General features: G+C 37.2%; 1 protein-coding gene across 4 annotated transcripts in view, besides 1 other annotated feature; it reads right to left on the bottom strand.

Moving 5' to 3' along the window:
• Positions 1-224: 224 nt before the first annotated feature.
• CFAP91 (cilia and flagella associated protein 91) overlaps positions 225-27,493 on the bottom strand; it is a 64,081-nt gene continuing 36,812 nt past the window's right edge. For all 4 annotated transcript variants that reach the window (NM_001320316.2, NM_033364.4, NM_001320317.2 and 1 more), the window contains 6 exons: positions 26,632-26,778; positions 23,131-23,352; positions 20,064-20,212; positions 19,425-19,516; positions 16,229-16,390; positions 225-2,275 (listed from right to left, as the gene is read on the bottom strand). In NM_001320316.2, the coding sequence (NP_001307245.2) occupies positions 16,230-16,390; positions 19,425-19,516; positions 20,064-20,212; positions 23,131-23,352; positions 26,632-26,778 (771 nt within the window). In that variant the 3' untranslated portion in view covers positions 225-2,275; position 16,229. The remainder of the gene's footprint in view (positions 2,276-16,228; positions 16,391-19,424; positions 19,517-20,063; positions 20,213-23,130; positions 23,353-26,631; positions 26,779-27,493) is intronic.
• Positions 19,691-19,985: a silencer, noted in NCBI's record as "tiled region #6912; K562 Repressive non-DNase unmatched - State 24:Quies". NCBI's record gives its function as "represses a minimal TATA promoter and a strong SV40 promoter by Sharpr-MPRA in K562 cells {active_cell/tissue: K562}" and the evidence as "EXISTENCE:reporter gene assay evidence [ECO:0000049][PMID:27701403]".

Genomic DNA, 27,493 nt, shown 5'->3' with positions numbered 1-27,493 from the left:
TTTCGCATCCTAAAGAGATCCTTTACCCACACTGCACACTTTCCTTTTGGATTTTACCTTGCCTCAAGCTAAAGCACTGCCTCTCTTTACAATGATTCACTATATCTGATTACGCATCCATACAAAAAGTTTTCTGCCTCAGACAGTTCATTGTGATTTTGTATCGCTATTGATCGTACTAGTCTAGCCCCAATTCACTACATGGCTCCAGTCACTATGACCACTTGGCTTTAAATGTGTGTTTTTATTGTCACTATAGGTGTTTTATTTTCAAAAGCAAAAATTAGAAAAGTTGGAGCATTTTAACTCAAGCCATTATAAGTAAAAGATTGCCGGTATCAAGAAAAAGTTTTCCTCTCCTAGTAAACTTCAATTAGTCAATGAGAATTGTATAACAACTTGTATTTTCCTTGACTGTCTAAATGCAAAACATAGTTTTAGAAGTCTACATAAGGATAAAGATTTTTAAAGAAAATATCATATTTTAAGTTTCATTACACATGTCCTTTATTAGAAGCTACTTTAAATCCTTTTTCAAACATGAATTGATTTTAATTAAAATAAAATTTTACTGGAACACAGTCATGTGCATTCATTTCTGTGTCATCGAGTGCTGCTCTTACCCTACAACGGCAGAGTTGAGTATGCAGTTATGATGGCGACCATCAGACCCGCAAACCCTAATGTAGTTACCATCTGGCCCTTCAGAGAAAGTCTGCTGTTCCCAGCTGTATAGCATTCCCCTCCCACCTTCTATCCCATCAGCCCAACCTAACTCACTTGTCATTTTGTGTTCTCGATGGTTTATTTCAAAAGTGAATGATATAACCTTTACCTAGCTCAGGTTAGCCTTTTTCAAAGAACAAAACAAAATTTAGTTGCTTCCTTACTGGTGCAGTGTTTTTTGTCAGTGATCCTCAGGGGGAAAAAAAGGTGTCCCAATCCTAGTTTTGCTAGGGCAAGGTGAACCCTTTCAAGTTTGTATAATTAGTTTTTTTAAAAAAAAACTCAGAAAATTAATTATTAAACTCTGATTATTGTTTCTATTTTATTTGTTCTGGTTTCTTCTTCAAGAACTCCGATTGCTGTGGGATAGGTCATCTACAGCTAACTTCTGTCATTTTAATCTCTTTGCCCATTCCTTCCCATCCCATGTTGGATCACTTAATAAATGTGTTGCCAACATTATCAATTTTATTCTCTGCTGTGGTATTTCTGCCCTTTTCACTGCATCCAAATGAATGTGTAAATTTTGTTGCTGGATTTTAAATCTTTTTATATTTTTCCCATCTTAGCCCACTTCCTTTTCTTTTCAGCCTGCATCTATTTTTTGACCTTGTCTGTTATTATTTCCTACTTCAGTTTCTGAAAAGACCCTTTCTTTTTGACTCCTATTAAAAACACTCAGCAAATGTTTCTGCAATTTTCCTTGTTTCTTACAGTAAGATATTCTCTAACATAAGCTTTGTTTTCAGAGTAGCATACATTTTCCTCTATAAATTCATTACTTGGACTCCATGTTGATGTTTTTGTTCATTTACTGTTTTCTTTTTTCCTATTTGACAGTCTTTGAATCAGGAAGAATCCTCCTGGAATCCTGATGCTTGTCAATACACAGGATGGGCAGATTGCCTTTCAATAGCACCATCTCTATGGCTGTTGCATGAACACACTTCTTAGATCTAAAGCTCAAAGGTGGGTTGATGTGCCACTGTAGAAGCAGACCAAAGTATAGTTTTCTGTTCCGATGGAGATGGACACTTGGGTTTCCAGTTTGGGACTATTGTGAACACCACTACTATAAATATTTTTGTCATGCCTGTTGGTGCACATACTCATGCATTTCTGTTGAATATATATCTAGGAGATAAAATCCTGAGTCATGGAATATGCACATTTTCAGCCTTAGTAGATAATGCCAATGTCCTGTGAATAGTGAACCAAAACTACTTGGAAAAATATTCCACAACATTTCCTTTTGTTTGATTCAACAAACCAGCACATCCTCATAGTTAACAAAATATTGAAATGAGACATAAGAAAATGTTCTCTTTAAGTAGGGCATCTAGAAGACACTGAAGAGAATGAAGCTTTTTCATTTGATTATTATTATTGAAAATCATTTTAAATTATTGGATGTTTAAGGAAAATAAATCTCCTTTCTCATGAATCACACACTGGCAAGTTTATGAGCAGTGCACACCTTGGGAGAAGTGCAGACTATTGGAATTATTTATGATGATTCGTACAGCTTCTTTTACAAAAAAATCACAATCTGTAAAAAAGAGCAAAACAAATGTTTATGATTATGTCATCTTTTAGAAACATTATCAGATCAATACATGCAAAAAATTCCTGTGATACAGTGTGTCTGAGCCCTAGCTTTGAACTCAGACAGCCCCACACATATCCCAGCTCTGCTATTTATAAGCCTTATGGATCCAGATGTTTCTTACTTCACAGTGTGTCAGTTTCCAAATTCTAGCACTTAAAAAAATCTGTACATTAACTGGGTTGTATACATACATCATAAAAAAATAAAAATACAAAAGAATGTCAACATGAGAAAGGTAAATCTCTTTTCCCCTGGTGTGAACTCCAGTCCCCAGTTTCCATGCCTGGCAACAGCTACCTACCAACTTCTTATTGACCTTTCCAGAAATATTCTCTGTATACTGCAGGCATAATGTATATATATATATGTATTTGTTTGTATATATACATATGTATTTCTAACTTTTAAAAAACCATGTATGCCTTTATTTCATTACTTGCCCAAATATTACTGGACCATAAACAGAATAGTCAGACATGTACAATAATAACTAAGCTTACCATCTTTGGTTCTTGCCATCTTTCAATTACATAAAGCCCATAGCTGCTTACCCGTTTTTCAATGTTATCATCTCAAAGATATGTTTGTGAAAGTAGGTGGGTAGAATAAATTTTATATAACAGTATGTTAGCCTAATTTACAACTTTATATATTTTCATATGATATGATGCTTCAATTCATCCTCTTGACCTGGGTCTTGCAAATACCAGGAGCAGCCCTGCTTATGAATGTCCTGAAGAGCAGTTATCCATGGAACAATTGTTTGGGAAAAGTTGATATGTAGACACTGGAGGTCATAAATACCGTTTCTGATTCTCTTTCCATTTTACTTTGACTTACTGCCAACATCCTTTACTATTTCATTTATTTACTTTAAACTGACAAAGAAAGATTATATATATTTGTCAGGTACAGCATGATGGTTTGAAATACGTGCACGTTGTAGAATGGCTCAGTCAAGCTAATTAACATATGCACTACTTCATATACTTTTCATTTTTTGTGGAAAGGGTGCTTAAAATCTCTCTTTGCTATTTTCAAAATATAACACATTGTTATTAAATATAGTCACCACGGTTTTACAATGCATCCCTTGAACTTACTCTTCCTAACAGAAATTTTGTATCCTTTGACCAACATCTCCCTACCACACTAGCTTCTGGCAACCAACATTCTACTCTTTACTTCTATGAATTCAACTTTTTTCTACTCTACATGCAAGTGATAGCATATGTGTATGTGTGTGGATGCATTACACCTGGTTCATGGCATTATGCTGGTATTTCTGTGCCTGGCTTATTTCACCTAGCATAATGCCCTCCAGGTTCAGACATGTTGCTGCAAATGACAGGATTTCCTTCTTTTTTTTTTTAAGGCTGAATAGTATTCAATTGTGTGTATACCATCATCTGTTGGTGGACACTTAGGTTGATTTCAAATCTTGGCTATTGTGATTAATGCTGCAGTGAACATGGGAGTGCAGATATCTCTTTCACACACTGATTTCATTACCTTTGGATATACACCCAGTTGTGGAATTGCTGGATCATATGGTAGTTCTATTTTTTATTTTTTGAGGACCTCCATAATGTTTTCCACAATGGCTGTACTAATTTACATTCCCACCAACAATGTGCAACGGTTCTCTTTTCTTCACATCCTCCTCAACACTTACTTTTTGTCTTTTTGATAATAGCCATTCTAACAGTATGAGGTGATATCACATTGTGGCTTTTGTTTGCATTTCTCGAACGATTAGTAATGTTGGGCATTTTTTTCATGTATCTGTTGGCCATTTGTATGTGTCTTCTTTTGAGAAATGTCTATTCAGGTCCTTTGCCCATTTTTTAATTGGGTTATTTATTTTCTTGCTAATGAGTTGTTTGAGTTCCTCACATATTTTGAATATTAACCTCTTACCAGATGTATGGTTTGTACATATTTTCTCCCACTTAGCAGGTTGTCTCTTCACTCTGTTTATTGTTTTTTGCTGTGCTGAAACTTTTTAGTTAGATGTAATCTCTTTTGTCTATTTTCACTTTTGTTGCCTGTGCTTTTGAGTCATATCCAAAAGATCACCATCCAGACCAATGTTAGGAGCTTTTCCCTTATGTTTTCTTCTCGCAGTTTTACAGTATCAGGACTTATGCTTAAGTATTTAATCCATTTTGAGTTGGGTTTTGAATATGGTGTGGAGAAAAGGTTCTAATTTCATTCTTCTGTATGTAGATATCCAGTTTTCTCAGCATCATTTATTGAAAAGACTGTCCTTTTCCCATTGTGTGTTCTTGGCACCTCTGTCAAAAATCAATTGACCACAAATCTGTGGGTGCATTTCTGGGCTCTCTATTACATTCCATTGGTCTGTGTGTGTAGTACCATGCTGTTTTGATTAGCATAGCTTTGCAGTAGATTTTTAAGTCAGGTAGTGTGATGGCTTTGTTCTTTTTGCTTCAAGATTGTTTTAGCTATTTGGGGTCTTTCATGGTTCCATATGAATTTTAGGATTGCCTTTTCTATTTCTGTGAAAAATGTCATTGGAATTTTGATAGAGATTGCATTGAATCTGTAGATTGCTTTAAGTAGCATGGATGTTTAAACAATATTAATTCTTCCAATCCATGAACACAGGATATCTTTTCATTTAATTGTGTCTTCTTTAATTTCTTTCATCAATGTTTGATAGTTTTCAATGTACAGGTCTCCTTGATTCAATTTACTCCTAAGTAAGTATTTTATTTTTTTCCTTGTAGCTATTATAAATGGGATTGTTTTCTTGATTTCTTTTTTGTATAGTTTGTTGTTAATGTATAGAAATGCTACTGATTTTTGTATGTTGATTTTGTACCCGTAAATTAATTACTTTATCATTTCTATTAGTTTTTTTGTTGGAGTCTTTAGGGTTTTCTATATATAAGACCATGTCACCTGCAAAGAAAAACAATTTAACTTCTTCCTTTCCAATTTGGGTGCCTTTTATTTCTTTCTCTTGCCCAACTGTGCTGGCTGAGACTTCCAGTACTATGTTGAATAGAAGTAGCAAGAGTGGAGCATCCTTGTCTGTTTCTGATCATAGAAGAAAAGGCTTCAACTTTTTACTGTTGAGAATGATGTTAGTTGTGGGTTTGTCATATATGGACTTTACTATGTTGAGGTACATTTGTTCTATAATGAATCTGTTAAGAGTTTTTTTTGTCATGAAAGAATATTGAATTTGTCAAATTTTTTTTCTGAATCTATTGATAAGATCATGTGATTTTTGTCCTTTATTCTGTTAATATGGTATATCACATTTATAGATTTGTGTATGTTGAGCCATTCTTGCATCTGTAGGATGAATCCCACTTGATCATAGTGAAAGATCCTTTTAATTTGTTGAATTTAGTTTGTTACTTTTTTTGAGAATTTTTGCATCCACGTTAATCAGGGATATTGGCCTGTAATTTTTCTTTCTTGTAGTATCCTTGTCTAGTTTTGAAACAAGAGTAATGCTAACCTTGTAAAATGAGTTTGGAAGTATTCCCTCCTCTTCAATTTTTTTGGAAGACTGAAATTTAAACATTTGGTAGGATTCAGCAGTGAAGCCATTGGGTCCTGCCTGGGATTTTCTTTGATGAGAGTCTTTTCATTACTGATTCAATCTTCTTACTTATTATTGGTCTATTCTGATTTTCTATTTTCTTCATGGTTCAATCTTGATAGGTTGCATGTGTCTAGACATCCATTTCTTCTAGATTGTCCAAATTGTTGGTATATAATTGTTTATAGTAGTCTTATCTTTTGCATTTCTGTGGTATCAGTTGTAATGTCTCCTCTTTCACTTCTGATTTTCCTTAAGTCTTCCCTCTTTGGCCTTAAGTAGTCTAGTTAAAGGTTTGTCAATTTTATCTTTTCAAAATACCGAATTTTAGTTTTGTTGATCTTTTCTATTATTTTTCTAGTTTCTATTTCACTTATTTCTGGTCTAATCTTTATTATTTCTTTCCTTCTACTAATTTTGGGTTTCATTTGTTGTTCTTTTTTTAGTTCTTTGAGGTGTAATATTACGTTGTTTACTTGAGATCTTTCTTCTTTTTCGATGCAAGCACATATTGCTATAAATTTCCCTCTTAGAACTGCTTTTGTTGCATCCCATAACTATGTCTTGTGTTTCCATTTTCATTTGCCTCAAGGTTTTTTTTTTAATTTCCCTTTTCATTTCTTCTTTGACTTCTTGTTGTTCAGGACCATGTTGTTTAATTTCCATGTAATTCTGAATTTTCTGAAATCCCTCCTGTTACTGATTTCTATTTTATATACCACAGTGGTTGGAAAAAATACTGGCTATAATTTCAATCTTCTTAAGTTTGTTAGGCTTATTATCAGTCATCAGTCTTGGAGAATGTTCTGTGTGTATTTGAGAAGAATGTGTATTCTGCTGCTGCTGGATGGAATATTCTATATATGTCTGTTAGGTCCATTTGGTCTAAGGTGTAGTGTAAGTCTGATGTTTCTCTATTGATTTTTTGTCTAGATGTTCTGTTCATTGCTGAAAGTGGGATACTGGAGGTCCCCACTATTACTGTATTACAGTCTAGCTCTCCCTCCATATCTATTAATATTTGTTTTATATATTTAGGGGCTCCAATGTTGAGTGCACATATATTTATAATTGTTAAAGCCTCTTGATGAATCGACCCCTTTATCACCACACAATGACCTTTTTGGTCTCATTTTATAGTTTTTTACTTAAAACCTATTTTATCTGATGTAAGTTTAGCTACACTTGTTCTATTTTGGTTTCCATTTGCATTGAGTATCTTTTTTCATCCTTTCACTTTCAGTCTATGTGAGTCCTTAAACTGTGAAGTGAGACTCTTGTAGGCTGGACATAGTTAGGTCTCATTTGTTTGTTTTTATCCACTCAGCCACTCTATGTCTTTGAATTGGAGAATTTAATCTAATTACATTCAAGGTAATTATTGATAAAGACTTACTACTATCATCTGGTTCATTGTTTTATGGTTGTTTTGTAGGTCCTTATTCCTTTCTTCCTCTCTTGCTGTATTCCTTTGTAATTAGGTGACTTTCTCTAGCGCCATGCCTTGATTTCTTACTCTTCACCTTTTGTGTATTTAATATAGGTTTTTTGTTTTGTACTTACCATGAGGAATATATAAAACACCTTATAGTTACAATAGGCTATTTTAAACTGGCAACAACTTAAATTTGATTGCATGCAAGAACTCTACACTTTTTATCCACCCTCCTCAACACGTGTGTTTTCAATTTCATAATTTACATCTTTTTATGCTGTGTATCCCTTAACAAATTATTGTAGATATTATTTTTAATAGTTTTGTCTTTTAACCTTCATACTAAAAAGTGATTTACACACCATCATTACAGTATTAGAATATTCTGAATTTGACCGTGTACTTACTTTTACCAATGAGTTTTATACTTTCATATGTTTTTGTATTACTTTCAACTGTAGAATATGACACATATAGGAAAGTACCTAAAAGCAATGTGCAGCCTAATAAATTAATGTACAGTACTCATCTGTGTAAATATCACACAGGTCAGGAAATAGTATTCCATAAGCTCCCATTTACCCCTTCCCAATCACAATCCTCTCTTTACCTCCTAAAGGTAATCACTATTCTGATTTTTATTTTATTTTTACAGTAGTCACTTTCTTGCATTTTGTTACACCTTAACTTTCTAAGTATGCATTCCTAAACACTATAGTTTAATGCTGTTGGTTTTGAACTTTATATAAATAAATTCATACTGTGGATTATTTTTGGATTTGGCTTATTATGGTACTTATCATATTTGTGAGATTCTTCCATGTGTTATATTTAGTTCTACTTTATTGTAATTGCTGTAGAGTAAGGAATGATAAACTTTTTCTGAAAAGGGCTTAATAGTAAATATTTTAGGTTTTGTGAGCCAAATGACAAAATCAAGGATACTCATTTAACAAAAGAGAAAACAAATTTTCACAACATTTTTTATAAAATTCAAAATACACTACTAATAATTGACTATAGTTTTCTGTAATATAGTTATCTTAATGAAAGGAATGGAATTCTTATTTGGGGGAATAACATTTTGCTTAATTTCGGTTCAAGTCATTGAAATTGATTGCAAATGTTCATTTATTAATAGTGATGTGTAATTAGATTTTCCTCTTTCTCATTTCATCTTTGAAAATGAGATTTTTCCCTATCTCATCTCATCCCTATCTCATCTTTGAAAATGTCTTTTCATTCAGAACAGTATGGCCAATACTGGTATCCATCCACAATTATATACTTTTATATAAATATCCATATTTATTGCTTGGAAGGCATTTATAGAATTCTATTAGATTCTTCTCTTGATATTTTCTTTTTAGCAGGTCATTACAATACAGATTAACTACTTCCACTTGAAGGTAAGATGAACATGCTTCCATTGCAGATAAATAATTTTGAAATTTCCTTTGCACTTGTTTCAAGGTCCAAAAATGCTACTAGAAAAGTAGTTTAGGCTCAGAAAATATATCCAATGCAAATATATGTAGGAATGGAGATCTTCCTTCTTGTTTTAACTTTTCATAGCATAGGAAATACATTATTTGGGATTCAAATAATGTTAGTTGCCAATGAAGGGACTTTACTATAGCATAAGCTCTGCATGTAAGTTTTGCTTGCCTTGCAACATTAGGATAGATTCATTAAAAAATATTACCAAGTCTGCAGCAATAGCCAATTTCCAAAGCCATTCAGTGTTCTGTAACAGTAGCTGAGGATGGTGTTCTTACTTAGAAAAATCTCAATCTTGGCCCTGAGCTGGAAAAAAGTCACACTGAAACTTTACCACTCTGAATCACTGAATGTCAGTATGATGGTGCAAGTCAGAATATTCAGCATCTCTTTCTGACCAAAAACCAACCAACCAACCAAACAAACAAACTACACACATATATAAAAACCCATAAAAAACAAAAAATTATAGAAGTGTCAATGGTTAAGTCCATGGAACTGAGTGAATTTTATTACTGACATAACTCATTAAATAACAAGAGATATTCAAACATTTCTCAAGCAGAAAAACAGTATCTACCGAAAACCTAAAGCTAACATTATATGGGAAAATTTGGCCTTACTCTGGGGGCTCCTCTGTACCCCAATCCATCAGGCCAGCCCACACAGCTCCTCTGGTTTCTCTTTCCCCTGGTAATGTCCCTCTGCCCTTGGCAAGAATATGCATTCTGTAGTTGTTGGGCGTAATATTCTATAAATGTCCATTAGGCCAAGTTTTTAAAAATTATGTATCTAAAATATTCCATTTTAATTTTATTTTTATTATTATTGAGACAAGGTCTTGCTCTGTCACTCAGGCTGGTGTGCAGTGGCATGATCTCAGCTCACTGCAACCTCTGCCTCCTGGGCTCAAGCAATCCTCCTGCCTCAGCTTCCCGAATAGCTGGGACTACAGGCACACACCACCATGCCTGGCTAATTTTTTTTTAATTTTTGGTAGAGACACGGCTTCACCATGTTGTCCAGGCTGGTTGCGAACTCCTGAGCTGAACTGGTCCACCTGCCTCGGCCTCCCAAATTGCTGGGATTACAGACGTGAGCCACTGCACCCAGCCAAATATTTCATTTTTAAATGTTTTTTCTCTCCACTTGCTTGTTAGTTCCTGATAAAGATTAAAATTTCCCAGAATTATTGTGGATTTGTCTATTTCTCCAGGCAGTTCTGTTAAATTTTGCTACATTTAGGGGGAGGCCGTGCTATTAAGTATATTTAAATTGTGACATTATATCTTCCCAATAAATTAGACCTTTATCTTTATGGCATGTCCCTCTTTTTCTCTAATACTTTCTGCCTTAAAGTTTTCTTTGATATGAATATTGCTATATCTGCTTTTCTATGGGTGGTGTTTTTATGGTATCTTTTTCAATCTTTTAACTTACAACCATTTGTATATTTAGATTTTATATAGGCTTCCTGCAAGCAGCATATAATTTAGTATGATTTTTATTCAGTCTGGTAAATTCTGACTTTACTTGGAATATTTTGTCTATTTACATTTAATGTAGTCAGTGATAAAATTTGGTTTGCATCTACCATTTTATTCAGTGCTTTCTATTGGTTCTGTTTCCTTTTTTCTCCTTTCTATCCACTTTTTGTATTGAGTGTTTTGAAAATTTAGTCCCATTTTCTTCTGTTAGCTTAGATGTCATATATCTCTTTATTATCCTTTCAGAGTTACCCTAGAGGTTACAAAATGTATCCTTGAGTTGTCATGGATCATTGAGTTATCAATGTCAACTTATACTTTTATCCTCCTCCTAAACAATGCAAGTGCCTTAGAAAAATTTAATCCATTTAGCCCTCTTCTGACTTATATATTACTCTTTTGTTTTATAACTGCATTGCTCCTATTATTGCTGTTTCTTATAATTTTTTTATGCAGTCAATAAGCCAATCCACATACCTGTCCTTAAATTTATTTCCAACCTTCCAACTGGGATAATTTTTCTTCTGCTTAAAAAGTACCCTTTAATAATTTCTTGTGTTGCAGATCTCCTAGTGACAAATTTTATTAGTTTCATTTGTCTGAAAATGTCTTTCGTTGCCATTCTTGAAGAATATGTTTGCATGAAGAATATGTTTGCCTAGAATCCTACTTTATTTTACTATTTCAATATATTGAACATATCATTCCATCTTTTTGGCTTTCATTGTTTCTGATGAGAAGTCAACTGTCAGCTTAATTATTGCTCTTATGAAGGTAATTTATCGTTTTTCTCTGAATGCTTTTAAAGGTTTTTCTTTTTCTTTTTGGCTTTCAGCAGTATTAGTATTCTAAGGTGTATCTAGGTATCGTTTTCTTTTTATTTATTCTGCTTAGGGTTAAGAAGTCTTCTTGAAAACAAGTCTTTTATCGTTTTTGGAAAATTCGTATTCCATATGATCTCCCAACATATTATTCCTTCCTTTAGTAGTGAAATTTCTTCAATCAGTGGTCCATGCCTACTCACTCTTTCTCCTTTTCTAAATCATTAAGCTATTCTAAATCTATCCTTCTCTCTCTTCTGTAATTTCTATCCTTTTGTCTTTCTGTGCTTCTTTCTAAATATCTCTCAGGAGAGATTCACTGAGTTTCTCACTTTTGCTACTGTATTTTTAAATTCTGGAATTTCTATTTTCTTCAAATCTGCTATATCATTTTTATTATGTCCAGTTCTCTTGAAATTTTCAATATTGGCATTTACCCTGTGAACAGAGTAAGTGTCTTAGCTCAGGCTGTCATAACAAAATACCATAGATTGGATAGCTTACAGCAGAAATTTCTTTTCTCACAGTTCTAGAGGCTACAAGTCCAAGATCAAGGTGACAGCATGGTTAGTTTTGGTTGAGAGTTCTCTTCCTGTCATCTAGATGGCCACCTTCTTACTGTGTCTTCACATTGAAGATGGAGGAAGAGAGGGAGAAAGGAAGAGAGAGAGAGGGAGAATGGCAGAGGGGGAGTGGAAGAAGGAGAGGAGAAGCACTGTGATGTCTCTTCTCATAAAAGCAATAACCCCATCATGAGGGTTCTTCCCTCATTACCTTCTCTAAACCTAATTCTCTCCCTAAGGTCCTGTCTCCAAATACCACATTGGGGGTTATAGCTTCAACATACGCATTTTCAAGGACACATTTCAATCCACAAGCATTCTACCCCAGGTAGAATTCATGTTCTTCTTGCATGCAAAGTACATTCATTCTATACCAACAATACCAAAAATCTTAACTCATTCCCATGTCAACTCTAAAGTCTAAAGTTCAAAGTCTCATAAATATTATCCAAATGAAGTACGGGTGAGACTCAAGATATGACTTGTCCTGAGGCAAAATTATTCTCCAGCTATGAGCCTGTGAAACCAGCCACACTATGTGCTTCCAAAATGCTATGGTGGGAGAGGCATAGGAGACATATTTCCTTCCAAAAGGGAAAAATCAGAAGAAAAAAATGGGTGATGGATCCTAAGCAAGTCCACGACCTGGCAAGGCAAATTCCACTGGATCTTAATTCTTGAGTATAGTCTTCTTTGGCTTAGTGTCTTGCTTTCTAAGCCCACTGGGGTGGCAACATCATTCCCATGGCTCTGCCCCTTTGACTCTACAATGCCCCATCCCCATGGCTCTAGGTAAGTGTCCTGTCCCTGTAGCTCTGCTGACCCAGGGTCCCACCCCATAGCTCTGCTGAGCTGGGGTCCACTGGGTGGTCCTTCTTCCAAAGCTCATGGTGAAAGCCACCTGGCTGTTGAAACTGGGACAATGGCCCTGATGATCTCTGGATCTCCTGTGGAATCATTTTTCCTTCTTCTTGAAGAATAGTGCATGTTTGCAGCTGAATAGTTCTATCATCCCATCCTGTCTAATTCAAGAAGTCCAATCAATAGGCTTCCTTAACTTCATCCTGCAATGTTTCTGCTCATATGATCCCATACACTTATCAAATGTCTGTTAACCCACCCTTAGCATTCACATTGGAAAGAGCTTTCTCGTTTTTTCCAATATAAATAGGCTAAGAATTTTCCAAATCTTCACATTCTGATTTCTTTTTGCTTAACATTTCCTTCTTCAATTCATCTCTTGCCATTCACATTTTATGATAAGCAGTCAGGAGGAACCAAGTTGCTCCTTTAACACTTTGCTTAGAAATATCCTCAGCTAAATATCCAATTTCATTGCTTGCAAGTTCTTCCTTCCATAAAACACTAGAACACAGTTCAGTCAAGGTCTTTGCCATTTTATAATAAGGGTCACCTTTCCTCTAGTTTCTAATAACATATTCCATATTTCCACCTGACAACTCACCAGAATCACCCTCAATGTCCATATATATAGTATGTACCTCAAAACTCTTCCAGCTTCTACCCATAACCAGTGGCAAGGCCACTCCCACATGTTTAGGTATTTGTTACAGTAGTACCCAACTCCTGGTACCAAAATCTGGCTTAGTCAGCTGGGGCTGCCATAACCAAACACCATAGACTAGATGGCTTAAACAACAGAAATGTATTTTCCCATAGTTCTGGAGGATAGAAGTCCACAGTAGTCAACATAGTTATTTTAAAGACTGTGTCTAATCACAAAGGCATAAGAATGATACAATGGACTGTGCGGACTTGGGGGGAAGAGTGGGAAGGGGATGAGGGATAAAAGACTATAAATATGGTGCAGTGTATACTGCTCTGGTGATGGGTGTACCAAAATCTCACAAATCACCACTAAAGAACTTACTCATGCAACCAAATACCACCTATACCCCAATAACTTATGGAAAAAATAAAGTCTGGGTCTAACGATTCCAATATTTTAGATCCTTTTAGGTCTGTTTCTATCATCTATTGTTTTGCCACTTGTTCAGACTGTCATGTCTCCTCACGTACCTGAATATTCTTGATTGTGTTCTAGAAATTGTGAAAATAGAGGTCTAGAATAATGTTAACTTTCTGTAAAGAGAATTTACATTTTATTTCTGGCAGGTTCCTTGAAGCAATAGAAACCAAGGATCTCGTTAAGTTCAATTTCTGGGATTGAGATTTTTAAAATCACTCAGATGATTAGAAGCTAAACTATATCATATGCCAGGGATAGTTTACTTCCAGTTAACCCTTACCACTAGGGCATAGACTTTTAGAGTCCCTACCCAAATGAAGAAGGTTTACCAGGGCCCCAACCTTGACTCAAGTTTTTTGTCCCCCTTGTTTTGCAAAGCTTTTAAAAATACTCCTCAGCCTTTCAGCCACATTTTCTAGAATTGTCATATTCTTCCAGGAAAAAAGTAGCTCCAAATGCCAGACCCAACCCTCTAAATTTCTATCTTCTCCTAGATCTTGGCCCAGAAATTCTTCACTACTTTATTAGCTCTCTGTTCAAGCTAATTAAAAATATGTATTTTTAAATATGTATTTTAAATCAGTGGCCCATGACTACTGCCCCTTTCCCTAGACATCATTGAATAATCTCACATCTGTCATTCTCTGCTTCCCTCTGCAAGAAGGAAGAGGGAGGATATACTTTGGGGACAGCTTAGCTTCATGTTCCAACCATTTAATTTATTGGTTGGTCATCTTTGTTGAGTGTCTGTAGTTAGCCTGACAACTAGACTTTTCTGCAACTAGATTTTATAATTATCATATATGCTTTACATAGGCTTTAATGAAATATATTTTACTTTCACTAAGTATAAATAGAAGATGATTTTTTTCTCCTCTGGCTTGATTTCACAGGTCACTATGGATGTCATAGAGTAGGTACCATAATCAGAAGTAAAGGCAGATGCATTCAATGCAAATTGTGTAAATTATTAATCTTATTAAATTTGCATGTCAGAAAAATGACTACCCCAACCTTAAGGCTTGCTTTTATCACAATAATAAGGTAGCCAAATGCTTTGGTCCTTGAATTTACATTTTATAGACAATATATAACATTACATGTAATAGATGTTTTATATTTTCAATTATTTCAGAGGTTATTTTACTATTAAAGTCAAAAGTTTTTCTGCTGTAATTTACAGCCACAGTTTGATATTTAAGAGTCACTTATTAGCTTTCTCTCTGCAATATTTCTTACCTTCCCTCTCATCTCAACCCTCCTTCCATGATTCCTTTTGATTGAGACTTAAGATTCCATTCTATTGGACCAAGGACTGAAGTAGAGAAATTATTTGTGTAAGATTATACAATTGGTGGCAGAGCTGGACAATATACAAAACTTCTGAATGCCAAACTAAAATTTCTCCCTAGCCCCAGTACTCTCCCCAACCTGATGGTTGGTATACCTTCAGGGCAAAACAGCAGCAGATGTGCCTCTACCACAAAAGGGTTGAGGGAGAAAGTATAAGCAAAAAGTTCACTCCATTCCCCTTCTCATGAGAATTTTACTTTCAGTTGACTCCCTAGCTCTATTCTCCTAGTAACTTGATAAGGTGATATGTGTCAACTGTGTTACTAAGCAATTTGAACTACTTAAAAATGACCCCTGATTGGTAAATTCCATCTGAACTGGGAGGAATGTATACCTAATAGAAAACCACAGCTTTGAGTTTCTGTGAGTATGTTGACTTTTGTAGCTGGGCAAATCCATGGTGGGGACCCTGGAAGCTATGCCTATGGAATTATTACAAGAGATTCCAGCCCCTGGGGTGTGAAGTTTTACGCCAGGGCAGCTCCTGTACCCACCCGGTGTGAACCTCTTTTCCTTGTATTGTATCTGCACTCCGTAAACTAAGGACTAAAGAAAACAGCTATGTGTTCTGCATGGGTATGGCAAGGGCTCCTACAGGAAGAGAAATGTCTGATGTTGCCTTGCTGGAAGCTGTTTCCTGTCTTATATTTTTCTAAGTACATTCATGCCAAATATGGTCTGTATTAGTCTCATGAGTATGACAGCCTTTAGTTGAGCCCAAGACCAACCCCTTGTGGGCACTGCAGAAGGTGTCTGAGCTAGAATTGGGCAGGCTCTGTGTCTCATGCCATGCTTACAGCTAGCACAATGCATTAGGGCATACCTTGTCTACTTCCATAAGAACAAGATTGTTTATATGTAACACTGACACATTCTATAGCTTCATTTGACGAGGTACACACATGCTAAAAGAACCCATAAAAATAATTTAGAGTCCTCTTTTTTGTATCACAAGAGTCTAATTGCTGTAATATCAACTCTAATTTTCTAATAATCTCAACAGTAGATAACATAAACTAGAGGAAATGTGCCAATTTAAGTGGAAGTCCTCCATTTCTTAAACAGCAATCTTCACATTATGATTGTTTGAGCACAGCACAAAGCTGAACAATGCCGCTTTTCTTCCTTTCTCTGCTTTTTTTCCTGGTGGAAAATCAAACTCACCTTAGCTGTTGTTCTCATTTTGAGTTTCTTTCTCAAGTAACATGGCAGCATTTGAGGCCTCATCTTGCTCTCCCTCAGTTAATTTCTTTTGAACCATGCTTTCCGTGTAACTGTGGATGATCTGATGGGCTGCAAGAATATGTTTCCGCTGTGCGTTCCTCACTGTGCCAAAGTAATAGAAAAATTTTCATTCTGAAAGTCTGAACAAAACCATTCCCAAATGTTTCAAGAGAGTCATGATAGAAATAATTTTGCAAATTAAAGGTAAAACCCAACCCAAATCTAATTTCTTTCTGCTCCCTCTGTTCCCACTCTCTGGTTCAGCCCAGTCATACTCCTTTCCACCAGGCTTGCCTCCATTCCACTCCTCAGCAGTTTCCCTCATCTGGAATGCCTGCACTCTAAAACCTGGAAAGCTCATGTCCAAGATCCTCCAGGAAGTCTCCTCTGACTACATCAGCCCAGATTTACCACTTACCGCACTTGAGTTTGTACCAACCTATTCAGCATTGAAGCACTTCATGTGAGTTACATTTCGTTTGATATCTAGAGTGTAAGTAACTTACAAATATAAAGACCTAGTCTTATACTTCTCTTTGAGCCTTAGTTCTTAATGTGGAAGGGACTTACTGATTGATGATGAGTTTATGAGCTCATGGCTTTAGAACATAGTCCTAGCTCCAAATTCTAAGAATATTCACTATCAGGGTAAGCACCTAAGCCCTTGGAAAGGAGTAGTGATGATGATGATGTTAACAGTTAGCATTTGTCCTTACTTTGTGCCAGGTACTGTTTTAAGCAGTTCACATGTAATTATTCATTTAATCCTCCTAGAAGATAGTATTTTAATATCCGCATTCTCAGAAGAAGAAACATGGACACAGAGATATTAGGTAATTTACATAAAGTCAAATAGCTAGTAAAGGACCGCAAGAAGTACTGTGGATTCTTTGCTGTTTGGGTATCAGGTAGTTTAGATAGGGTAATTCACTCAGCAGTTTTTAGCACTTCACAGTAATATGGTTGAAAAAGTGGGGGCTTTGGAGTCACATAGACCATGGTTCAAATTTGCAAGTCATATGTCTCTAAGAGCTAATTTCCATTAAGTGAAAAATGAGAATATACCTACAACTCTTGAAAGAAATTGAGATAGTGTACATTTAAAAATGTTCAGTGAACTTCTTGGAACTTAGCATGCATTTAAAATTTGGCAGTTACTATTACTTTATATCTATATACAGGTATCTTTAAGGTCTTTCTGATCCATTGGCTTTTCAAAAAGTGATATACCTCAAAATCGTCTGTATATATTATCATCTTAATTTTGGGTAAAGAGTGTATATATAATACATATGGTTCTCATTTGAACAGAGAGAAAAAGGTCCTAGTGTGCTCCCTGTTCATATGGCTTTTTTGATTTGGCAAAAATATAAAGGGAAGAGGCTAAGGACTCATTCAACTTGCCCATAGATAAGTTCCACTGGATTCCGTTAGCTCAAGTCTTCCTCCAAATCCTCAACTCAGACTCCCAACATGGGAGAGGGGATCACAAACTAGTAAATTTTCTTTTTTTTTTTAGACAGGGTCTCATTCTGTGTTCAGGCTGGAATGCAGTGGCACAATCTCGGCTCACTGCAGCCTCCACCTCCTGCACTCAAGTGATCCTCCCACTTCAGTCTCCTGAGTAGTTGGGACTACAGGTGCATACCACCACACCTAGCTAATTTTAAAATATTTTTTGTAGTAACTGGGTCTCCCTGTGTTACCCAGGCTGGTCTCAACTCCTGGATTCAAGTGATCTTCCCGCCCCAGACTCCCAAAGTGCTGGGATTACAGACTTCAGCCACTGCACCTGGCCACAAACTAGTAAATATTAAACCCAGTTTTCCTCCTCTCTTTCAATCCTAGGGTGGAATTCAACCAAGGGTGTAATGGCTTTGAAGCAGGCTGGCCTCACTTTGAACTCAGGAGAAGTGGAACAGAGTTGCATATTTTCTTAAGGTCCTAGAAAACATAAGGTCCTTTTATAACATAATGTGACACAGAAATATATTACTTGATCTGAAAATTAATTTTTTGTATAAGCACTATCATACACTATTGATGCAAGTCAACAATCATTTTGTGGGGCAATTTGGTAATATCAAATTGGTAGAACAATCTTTTTGTAAGGAAATTTGGTACTATCTATCAAAATGTAAAATACATATACCTTATATCCCAGCAATTGCACTGTTAAGAATGTACTCTCAGAAGCATGGTCAGGATATGTGTAAAATATATTGATTGAAGCACTGTTAGTAACAGGAAAACAAACTGGAAACAAACTAAATGCTTATCCTTAGGGGGTACTGGTTTAAAAATTACACTACAACCATGCAATGGAAAAATCAGGTATTTCTTTGTCCTCTCCAAATGTGTTAGAACTCCACCATTTCTTTATCCCTGATTGAGCAAATTGAAATGTTAAGCATTTTTCTGCTTAAGCCCATCTGGAATTCCCCGGTATAATTTTCAATACTTCTGAGCTGCTATTTCACTTAAATACTGGTCTTCTCCTGGTTGCACCCCTCTGTCTAGGATCAAGCCTGCCATCAGCAGCCTCAGAGCTATGGAAGAATCTTATTTTTCTGTTTAAGATAGTATTTTCTCTTTCTCTATTGACTAAAAGCATCAATCTTTAAAAACATGCCACCGGTGACAAATGATAAATTAGGATATTTATACTTGGATGGAGTTCCAGCAGAAATAAGCTATTTGGGGTACAGGCAGAGCAGCAGGGTAGACTTAGACCTTTCTAGCACCCTTCCTTTTTAACATTCACGGTTCACGTGTCCTGCCTCTGAAAGGCTGCTACAATGTGAAAATCTTTTATATGCTCAATATCTGTTTTATGCTTTTTAAAAAAATAAATAAAAAAATACAGCTCTTCTGAAAACTTGGGAACATCCTTTTAAACAAGGTTTGGATTTTGATACTGTCACTCTTATTAGAACTACAACCCATCTGTACTAGAGTTGATTATATTCTAGAATCAGGCAGCATGAAGAGAACCTGACAAGCTCTGAAATAAGAAAACTCAGTGATCCTCCTTTAGAAATTTCCTCATCCCTCTGTTTAATTTTAAATCTCTGGGATATTGAAAATAATTTACATCTTTAAAAAATCCTAAAGTAAAGCATTTACATTGGCTTACCTTTTTCTTTGACAAAGTATTTTTGCACCTCTGGGATCAGAAAACTATAAACCAACTCAGCAACAATCTCCTCTGACTGAAGATAGGTTCGGCTAAAAAATATAAAACAAATTGAATTATTTCTTTGGTTTTTTCACTTGAGCTGCTGATTTATGCTTTCCTGCTGTGTAAGCAACTCCATTCAAACCCCACCATCACCTTTTCCTTGATTAAGTGATCTGAAATATCACATTCCTGGCAAGTTTGTTTAACTCCACAAAAAAATTTGGATTTGACCCTGTCCTTCAGTTACCCTGCCTGCCAGGAAGGGAATGTTGGAAACACAGCTTATACATAGAAGCCAGCAACCTTGGGATGAAGTCCCAGTAATGTTGCACACACGTATTCACATTGTTTTCATGCTTCCGAGTATTCTTAAAGTAAGTAATGAGAGTAATCCAGATTGCAGAGGATAACTGAGAATACATACGGAGGCATACACATATTGGCTTCTCAAGAGTTAATGTTAATAAAACAATGGACGCTGAAGTATGAGTTATTTGTTTCTACTTGGTGGTGAAATTGTAAGCTCTTGAAAAAATATATATGAGTACCAGCAAATGGGCTGTCCATTCTACAATCTGTTCTCTTGATACACACCGGCTTTCCATTTCATAAGCAATGTCATTGATTTTCTCAGCCATCTTCTCTATTTCTGCCCTGGCTTGTTCTTCTGCAGTATTCGCTTCGGTATTCAGTATTATGTCTTCTAGGTAGGAGCTTATAGTACTATGGTGAACTTTAACCACCTGCAAAAAACAATAATACCCTCACTAAAACAGGTATGCTGTTGTAAACAACACAAGAAAAATACACAAACATTGGTTAACTTTTTCTAGCTCATATATTTCATTTAATAAGTCAACAGTCCCTTCACTAATCATTCATTTTCTTTAGCATCTCATCAGTCTGTTTCTCATCCACCTACCTACTCACTCTGGGCAGCCCACACCCATTTAGCCCATTTCAGAATTATGGATCTTATTGGGCAGGCAGGCAAGACAGCACTGCTGAAGGATTATGGGCTTCAGAGTCAATAACGCTGGTTCAAATCCTGGCTTTGTTCTTACCAGCAACGTGACTTGGTCAAACTATCTAACTGTAGCACAGACTAGGAGGTATTCTGCAGTGTCCTTTCTCTCCTTCCTCTTACATAATAGAACCCCTGGATTTTAGCTAGGGAAACAGGTGCCTAGAATAAAGACTACATTTCCCAGCACCCACAGGAGCTGGATTGCCCATATGACCACGTTCTGACCAAAGAAAGGATTCTTAAAGGGAAAGACCTGGCTTCCTTTTTTCTCTCTTCATTTCTCCTTTCATGAGGACATAATGCTGGAATACCAGCAATCATCTTAAATTGCCAGAAGGCCTACGACCTAGGAGCAGAAGAGCAGAAAGCTAGAAGGATCCTGGGTCTCTAATGAATTTATTGAACTATCATACCAGCCCTTGACTGCTTCTTTTTAAAGTTTACTTGAAATCATGAAATAGGATACAGATTTTAAAAGTGCATTGCAAGCAAACTCAGAGATTAGAAAAATAAAACAAAATAAAAAGTACAGAGCACATAAATGTACAGTGTAATGAATTAGGGTAAAGTCAGAAGCCATGTATTATAGTAACTGCCAGTATCTCAGAAGGCCACCATGGTTTCTTCCTTTACCACAGCACCTTCCCACTTTCATAGTAAACACTTTCTTTTCTCTATAATTTTGCTACCTAGGTATGTAACCATAAACAAAGTAGTTTAGTTTTGCCCGCTTTACAGGTGTATGTATATAGAAAGATTAAGCATCAACTGTGGCATACTTAGTTTTGCCTGTATATGTATGCTGTCTCCTCAACAGATTATCAGCTTTTTAGAGGTAGGGCATTTTTCTGTTTCATGTCTAAATATAGCTTTGTATCTGAGATAATGCCTGGGACTCAGTAACAATTCAGTACCTGTTTGTGGATTGGCACTTTGGCACAATTCTGAGTATATGATACTGTACACCTATGTGTAAAACATCAACCTTCAATCCCTATGCCTTCTCTATGGGAGAGTCTCAATGGCCAGTTTAATACAGTATCAACCAAACAACTAACCAACCAAAATATATCTGCTGAATGCCTATTAGTTACAGGGATCTACACTGTGTTGTGCAAGGCACAAAGGGAATATACAATATTCATGCTCTCATAGAGCCCACCCTCTTATTCAGGAAGCAAGTTGGATCTATATGGATCAATTAGCTCAGTCACGTAATAGTAGAGAGGTGGAAAGTTTACTATGGTCCATCCATAGCTGTATATGTACCTGTGTGTTTATGTATATCTTTATAAATGTGTAAATTTCTGGAGACGTTTGTGCGTGTATGTATGTGAATAAGGAAAAGTGTGGCTATGTGTGTTCCTCTATGTCTTGCTAATGTTGTGCACACCAGATTATATTTGTAAATATGTCCTCATGTATGTGCCTGCAAAATTTATATGTATTTAAAGATGAGTCGATGACTTTATATCTGTGTTTCTCACTATCTAGATGCATATTTTGGAAATTTATTAAATATTACATTTCTGGTTTATAATTTATGTGCAAGCATATTTCTCTTCAAGAGAATCTGAATGGAGGCTGGGGAAGTAGGATGGAAAATAGTCACTATATTTTAATTAGGAAGGTTGAGAATTAACATATGGATGATATTTGAATCTGTGGGTCCATAGCTGAGTACATTTTTTACCTAAGTGGTTCTTAAATCAGGCTAGAAAGGCTATATTAACCCTTTCTTGCCCTTGCTAGACAGAGCTGATGTTTTCTGACATCATTCCCATTTAGAAGGTATCTTCCTAAGAAGCTTTTTTACCAGCTTTTTCCTTTCTCTGCTTTTGTGTATAGTAGCTCCTCTGTTCCATTTCTTCTTATTCTCATCCCCAGCTGGTTCTTCCTTAGTGATATTAGGTAAAGGATGGCAAGTTCTGATTTGCCAATAATTTCTAAATCTCAGTCACTGTTTTTGAAGAAAAGTGTGTTGAGATTAGTAGGAGGCTAGAAGCTGGTCACCAACTTCCAAATTTACATCTTCGGCCAAACCCTCATTTCTAAATTCCATCTTGTAGATCCATCTACTGAAACAATACCTCTGCTTAGATGTCCCAAACGAAATATAAACTGATTTCCTGATTCCTCCCCTGCCCCTAAGCTTATTCCTCTCTCAACTTTCCTACCTCACGAAATAATACCATCATCTTCCAGCTGCTTAAGCCCGAAACTGGATGTAATACTCGACTTCCTGTCTCTCACTCTGGCCTTCACTACTTCAACAGCTCCTTCCTGGCCGCCTTGTTCCCCCTCTGTCCTCCCTCCAGCCTGTGCTCCACACAGCAAGTGAAGTAACTGGCTTAAAATGTGTCTCTGGGCCCTATTTGTTTCCTTCATGGAACTCATTACAGTTTCTAATTCTATACACGTGCGTATTATGTGTTATTTAAGCTTTAGGAGAGACGGGATCGTGTCTGGGTTTTTTCCTCCAAAGTTTCCCACAGTGCCTCTGTAGAGTGCCTGGCATACAGTAGGAACTCAATGCATAAACAAAAGCCAAATGCCATTTTATGTCATGAGCTTCCTTTGGTTTGACTTGGCTCCTTCTAGGCAGCTTCCACACACCCAGCTGCCCCTACTTGCCTCCTTAAATATCTCGTCCTCCTCCCGCAGGCGCTGTTTTTCCACCTGGCGCCGACCACTCTCTTCAGCCTCTCGTACCCGCCGCTGGCGCTCAGCCAGCATGACAAAGGCATGGATCCTCCTCTCCTCCTGCAGTCTCACCAGCTCTTTGGACAGGAAGTCAAACATGTCTGCTAGTGCCCTTCCTTCCAGTCCGGCCAAATGGTTTTCAACCAGTGACACCTTGAAAAGAATAACATAACTTTAAGGACACAAATTCCATTATGAGTGGTGATTATTAGAAGAAGTGCTGGATTACTCAAAACTCTTGGCAGTCAATTCACTTTCAGAATGCATTTAATTTTTACTGGGAATATTACCTCTCAATTGGCTCCAACCCAAGTTCTTATGAGGAAAACTGAGGCACGAGAAAGTCGATTGTCTGGTCAGTCACTGATGGACCACAGCCCTCAAATAAGCAAGAGGATTTAGCAAGACGTTTCTGTTAGTGACCATGGAGAATGGGTTTTTTTTCTTTCAATTTTATCAACAAGGTAAAGTGTGTCTTCTCAGATATGAAGGGAAATGTCAAGTTTTTTATTAAAGATAATATTGGAGTTTAATCAAATTGAATCTCCTAGAAATTCACTCATGATATCAGTTAATTTTTCAATATCTTTCCTTTCACACAAGTTAGGAGTTAAGATCTTGAATAACGTGAAAGTAGAAAACCTTGGTACTTTTTACTTTTTTAATAACTTTGAAGTCATTAACAACAATATTCGAAATAGCACAGGAATGGCTGGGCATGGTGGCTCAGGCCTGTAATCCCAGCACTTTGGGAGGCTGAGGCGGGTGGATCACCTGAGGTCAGGAGTTCGAGACCAGCCTGGCCAATATGGAGAAACCCCGTCTTTACTAAAAATACAAAAATTAGCCAGTCGTGGTGGTGCGTGCCTGTAATCCCAGCTACTCGGGAGCCTGAGGCAGGAGAATTGCCTGCGCCCAGGAGGCAGAGGGCGCCACTGCACTCCAGCCTGGGTGACAGAGTGAGACTCCATCTCAGAAAAAAAAAAAAAAAAAGCACAGGAAACAGACCAAATGTCCATCTAATCACTGAGGCAAAATTAGGGACCCATTGTGCTCTCTGCCAGAAGTCAGCTACAGTGCCTATTTATGAATCCCTGTGTCCTGGCTTTGACATATGGAGAAGAAAAGTGTTTAAGATGACTTTGCAACTTCATCCCCTTTCCTCTCCTATCCTTGCTTGTAAGGGAAAAGGGTTCATCTTCCAGTCACATGCCACCTTCTCAGTGACAGTTCTCCCTCTATGCTCAGCTTCCTTCCTGGTTTCTGTATGAAAGGAGGGAATACTCAGTTCTCAGAGGCCATGGGGCTATGGGTAAAAGCATCAGTCAAGTGTGGTTGTTGGCCCCAACACCACCCATCTTCATCCTCACCTGCCTCCTAGCCCACACACACTTTCTAACCACAAAGTTCAACTTTACTTATATAATAGGGAGAGATGGAAAAAAAGGGCAAAGCTAAGAGCATCTCACTACTCCTTCCATTCATAAACAGTAGATACTCAGCCCAGAGATCACAAATAGATTCTCTCCTTGTCTCCAGGGAGCATAAGCTCCCTCACTCAGGGTCAGGTGCAACCTTGAAAATCCTGAGGTGGCTAGAAATCCTGTTCATGTTTAGCCTCTTCTCTCAGCAAGAAATCTGGGTAGGCACAGGCAGTACCATCTAATTTGAAATTAAGGGAAATGTTTAGGGAGGGGACTCCACTGTAGTCACAGAAAGTACTGTGTTACGTAATTGGGGGTTGTGCATTTTCTGGACTGTTTTCCACAGAAATATAAGAGAAGGGGGAAGGGGGCAGACCAGCATTGCTGCATCTATACATGAGGTGCTCACTCCCTCAGATCCCTGCATATATCCAGGGTGTATCCAAGTACAGCTGAAGGTAAGCAGAGTGAGTCCTTGGCTAAGTGACAGCTTTGCCCATTAACTCCTCCCTTAGCTGTAGGCGGACACGATTTCACTCACATGTATATCCACTAAATGGAATAAATGAGCTGAAAAGCCTGGGTTAGCTTAGCTATACCCACTAAAGTCATGATCAGAAACTGAAAGGGCCAAGGAGGGCATTTTTTCATCCACAGTCTCAGGGCCTAGCGCTTCCAGGGCATTCTGCTCCTTATCTGAGCTTTTCCAGGACTCTAGGACTTCTAGATTCAGGGACTCCAGTGTTGACATTCTCCTCTTCCTTCTCTGGTTCCTCTGTTGGATCTCACAGCCTGTGGCTTGCTTCCTCCCCATTCTGCCTCACCCCCCAAAAGTTCCCCAAGCTCAGCAAACATCCATGGTGCTGCTGTCATGTGAAAGAAACAAAGTTGTGGTCATTTCCAGGCTGCTTACCATTTGTGCCCGACTCCCACATAACACAAGAGTTATGTATGTTGCTAAAGGGGGGGTCATATTAACTTTAAGTATTACTTCCCTATAACACTAAATTCTGTGCAAATTGATTCTTTTTCAGATTGACTTACAGAAAAGTGGGAGAGGGAGTAAAATAAAGCATAGCTATACTATGTCAATAACATTTAAAAGTGTGTATACATATATAGACAAACATTGGAAGAAAATAGGAAAAATATTTACAGTTGTTGGTTTGGAGCTGTAATTCTTAGCTGTGTCAGGCGGCACACAGCTGGGAGGTCATGACGAAAGTCACCACATATCATGAAACAGTAACACATTTAATATGCAGTTTAACCAGCATGAGCTATGACAGCTCTAAAACTCCAAAATAAATGCTAATATTTTAAGATAAATCTTATTTCTCACTTTTTTCATGTTGCTTTTGTTATTTATTCAGTCTACAAAGCCCTCACTAACTGAAATACAATAGTCACTGGATATTTGGGGAAAAAAATGGAAGGAAAAAAATCTTAAAGTTGAAAAGAATGCATTCTTCTTGTTTTGTTGTTATTGTTTTGCAAATAAAGAAAAAATAGCACCATATTCAAATCAGTAAGGGCACATCCCCAATCAAATTAAGGACTACAGCAGCATTATTTAAGAATTCCAGAACTTTGGGAAGCTGAGGCAGGCGGATCACCTGAGGTCAGGAGTTCGAGACCAGCCTGGCCAATATGGCGAAACCCCATCTCTACTAAGAATACGGAAATTAGCCAAGCATGGTGGTGCATGCCTGTAGTCCCAGCTTGGGAGACTGAAGCAGGAGAATCATTTGAACCCGTGAGGCAGAGGTTGCAGTGAGCCACGACTGCATCACTGCACTTCAGCCTGGGCGATAGAGTGAAACTCCATCACACACACACACACACACACACACACACACACACACACAAATGCTGACAGAGTGATGGGATTGTGGGGCTGTTTCTTTTTCATCATTTCATTAATTTTTATTATAATGGTGCTGTGTGATGATAAAATCAAGGGAGAAAATTTAACAAGAAAGTAACAAGAAAACAAAAAAAGGAAAACCTTGTGCTCATGCAAGTTCCTCTGCCGCTGTAAGGCCAGGGTCACTTGCTTCTCGGCTTTTTTCACCAGCTTTTCATCTTCTTGTAGTGCGTGGCAGGTGCGCAACTCCTGGATCAACTCCAGTCGCTTTTCTTTCCCTTCAAACATCTGTATCAAATCAAATCAAAGACAGACCTGCAAGTTACCATCCCTTTGTGCCAAGCACTAGGAGTCACACGCAGTGACTTGTGAGACACTTGTGAACAGTGGGTTCTGTCCTGCCTTTTGGGTTCCACAGAGCAGATGTGTCCCACAGAGCTAGAGCTCAGCCCTCTTTTCTGTGCCTTCAGCTTCTCAGGCAGAAAATGGGCTTAGTTTTCAGTGAGCTGTGCTTAATTTCTGAGAATGCCTCTCAAGGACAAGATGACAACTCCAGGGTCATCTGAAGAAACCAGAACCTTCCCCTCATTTCCTGTGCTCCTTCCCTAATAAACCTGAGGATGGCATTTTTCATGGCCATATGTTTTTTTCCAATAAATCTGTCCCTGGTTTGTAATAATCTGTTGTCTGAATTTAACTGTGGCATTTCTCTTGGGAAAATACTGAAAGAAGAGTAAAGAACAGTGCTAAACACAAGTTGTTCATCCAGATGATTTACTCATCATATCTGAATCTCTTATGAGTTATAGCTATCTGGGAAAAAAAATTAACTGGGGCTTTATATCAGTCCATTTTTTAAGTGAAGTGTGCCTGCTCCAGCAACACAAATAATCTGGCTAAGGCTTTACACTCGGGAAGACCAGAGCTGAATTTGCTGGCAGATAACTAAATCTCCCTCAGACTCAGATTACTTGCCTGTAAAATGAGATTATGGATAGGAAAA

Source organism: Homo sapiens, chromosome 3, assembly GCF_000001405.40.
Source record: "Homo sapiens chromosome 3, GRCh38.p14 Primary Assembly".
NCBI lineage: Eukaryota > Metazoa > Chordata > Mammalia > Primates > Hominidae > Homo > Homo sapiens.
The sequence above is the reverse complement of the archived record's forward strand: the minus strand, read 5'-3'. Positions and strand labels throughout refer to the sequence as shown.